Here is a 2,071-nt window from a genome sequence, read left to right as displayed (position 1 = left end):
CTTAAAGCTGTCAGCTAGAGGAGATAGCTAATATGGTTTGGCTGTGTCCCCAACAAAATCTCATCTTGAATTCCCACATATTGTGGGAGAGACCTAATGAAAGGTAATTGAGTCATGGGGGCAGGTCTTTCCCAGGCTGTTCTCATGATAATAAGTCTCATGAGATCTAATGGTTGTTATAAGGGCAAGTTTTACTGCACAAGCTCTCTTTGCCTGCTGCCATCCATGTAAGACGTGACTTGCTCCTCCTTGCCTTCTGCTATGATTTTGAGGCCTCCCCAGCCATGTGGAACTGTGAGTCCAATAAACTTCTTTCATTTGTAAATTGCCCAGTCTTGGGTATGTCTCATCAGCAGCATGAAAACAGACTAATAGAATACCCACATTAATTCCTTGTCCCTTTTGATAAGCTGCAAATGTGGAACCAGGCTGACTAGCAGGATTCTTCAGCAGTCTTAGCAACATTCCATGCTAAGCAACATTCTGTTCTGTCCAGTACAATAGCCAGTAGACAAAAGTGGTGTTTGAGCACATTTAATGTGGCTAGTGCAACTGAGGAACTTAATTTTTTAGCTTAATTAATTTAAGCTTAAATTTAAATAACCACACGTGGCTAGTGGCCACTGTATTTGACAGTGCAGGTATAGAGTGTGAGTCAAGAAGATTTTGCCTATTTGGGACAAGTGACTCATGAAATGGTGAATTGAGGGCCATAATCTAAAGGTAACTAAAATTGCTCTTTTTCCTTTAAGAAACATAAAAGATAAAATTTCTTTTATTTTTAAACTAAAGGAACAAGGACAAATTTATGGTGAAAGATAAACAATAGGGAAAATGGAAACACAAAAGCAGATATACACAATGACCACATAAAACTAAGAACTGAAGGAAAGGAAAAGGTAGACAGGAAACAAAACTCTTGGGGTTCTGAGGAGTTAATTGGATAAACGTTTATCTTATCCTGTGTTTCATTTAGATTGTGTCTTCAGATTATTAGCATTTCTAATATTGCTCTTTTCTATTCTGGCTATTTACTGCTTGTAGTTATTATAGTTTTTATTTAATCAGATTTAAAGAGGACCAGTGCTTCTTAAACTACTACTAGAATTTCACTAAGATAAAATTATTCACTGTGTTGCTGCAATAATGTCCTAAAAAAATATTATTCCTAGGGGTGCATGAAAGAAAGCCAACAACAAGTACAGATGTATCAGAAACATGAACAAAGAAAGTATCAGAACAATAGTATTCTTATTAGTTGAGAAAGAGAAAAAAATACTGTTTTAAGTTTTATGGATAAATTTTGATGTATATTAGAGAATCTTCTAATCTTACTTGATCTCATCCTTTTGGTAAGCGATCTATGAAGCTGTAAAGTTTAAGATGTTGGTAACTGGGAAATACAATGTGTTTAGTAAAGGTCATTAAGTTCCATAAAAAAGTAAATAGAATTTGCTCTTTAGTAATCTTCAGACTGTGAACACTATTGATTCAGCTACATCTGCAAAAGCAGGTGGTAGGCCTAATGACCACTTTAACAGTAAATCAGAATCACAACATTACTGTAAAAACTGATAATGTTCCTGAAGATCACTTCTAAGGTCAAGAAGGTAGTAAATTGGAAATCTTGCACACAACCTCAGCTACTTATAGCACATAGTTAAAAATGGGAAAAAATTATCTTATTTCTAAGAATACTTTTCAAACTTTTTCAACATTCTCAAAACTCCTTGAGCTGTAATAAATTATAATATTGCCATAATTTCACTACAATAAAAAAAACTCAGTATAAAGGAACTTACAAGTAAGTTTCATTATATATTTAGTCTAAAAAGGCAGTATTTCTTAAACTAATGATCTAAGAACATTGTGAAATCCATTTAAGAGCCTCAAGAGCAGTGTTTATTTCATTTAAATTGGATAGGGTAGACCAGAGTGCTTTGCATGGAGTAAGGGTAAATATTATATTGTGAAATTTGGTTTCATTTAGATAAATATATATTTATTTGCTTATTGGTTATGTTGTACAATGCTTTTCTATTGTGGGTTACCTTGCCAAACACTGTTCTAA

At 33.8% G+C, this 2,071-nt stretch overlaps 1 long non-coding RNA gene across 1 annotated transcript in view; it reads right to left on the bottom strand.

Moving 5' to 3' along the window:
- Positions 1-440, bottom strand: part of LOC105377953 (uncharacterized) — a 29,486-nt gene extending 29,046 nt beyond the window's left edge. Inside the window, exon 1 of the long non-coding RNA XR_001744310.1 lies at positions 385-440. This is a non-coding gene — a long non-coding RNA (uncharacterized LOC105377953). The remainder of the gene's footprint in view (positions 1-384) is intronic.
- Positions 441-2,071: the final 1,631 nt, after the last annotated feature.

Source organism: Homo sapiens, chromosome 6 (assembly GCF_000001405.40).
Source record: "Homo sapiens chromosome 6, GRCh38.p14 Primary Assembly".
Classification (NCBI taxonomy): Eukaryota; Metazoa; Chordata; class Mammalia; order Primates; family Hominidae; genus Homo; species Homo sapiens.
Note: the sequence above shows the minus strand (reverse complement) of the source record. Positions and strands in the feature narration are given on the sequence as shown.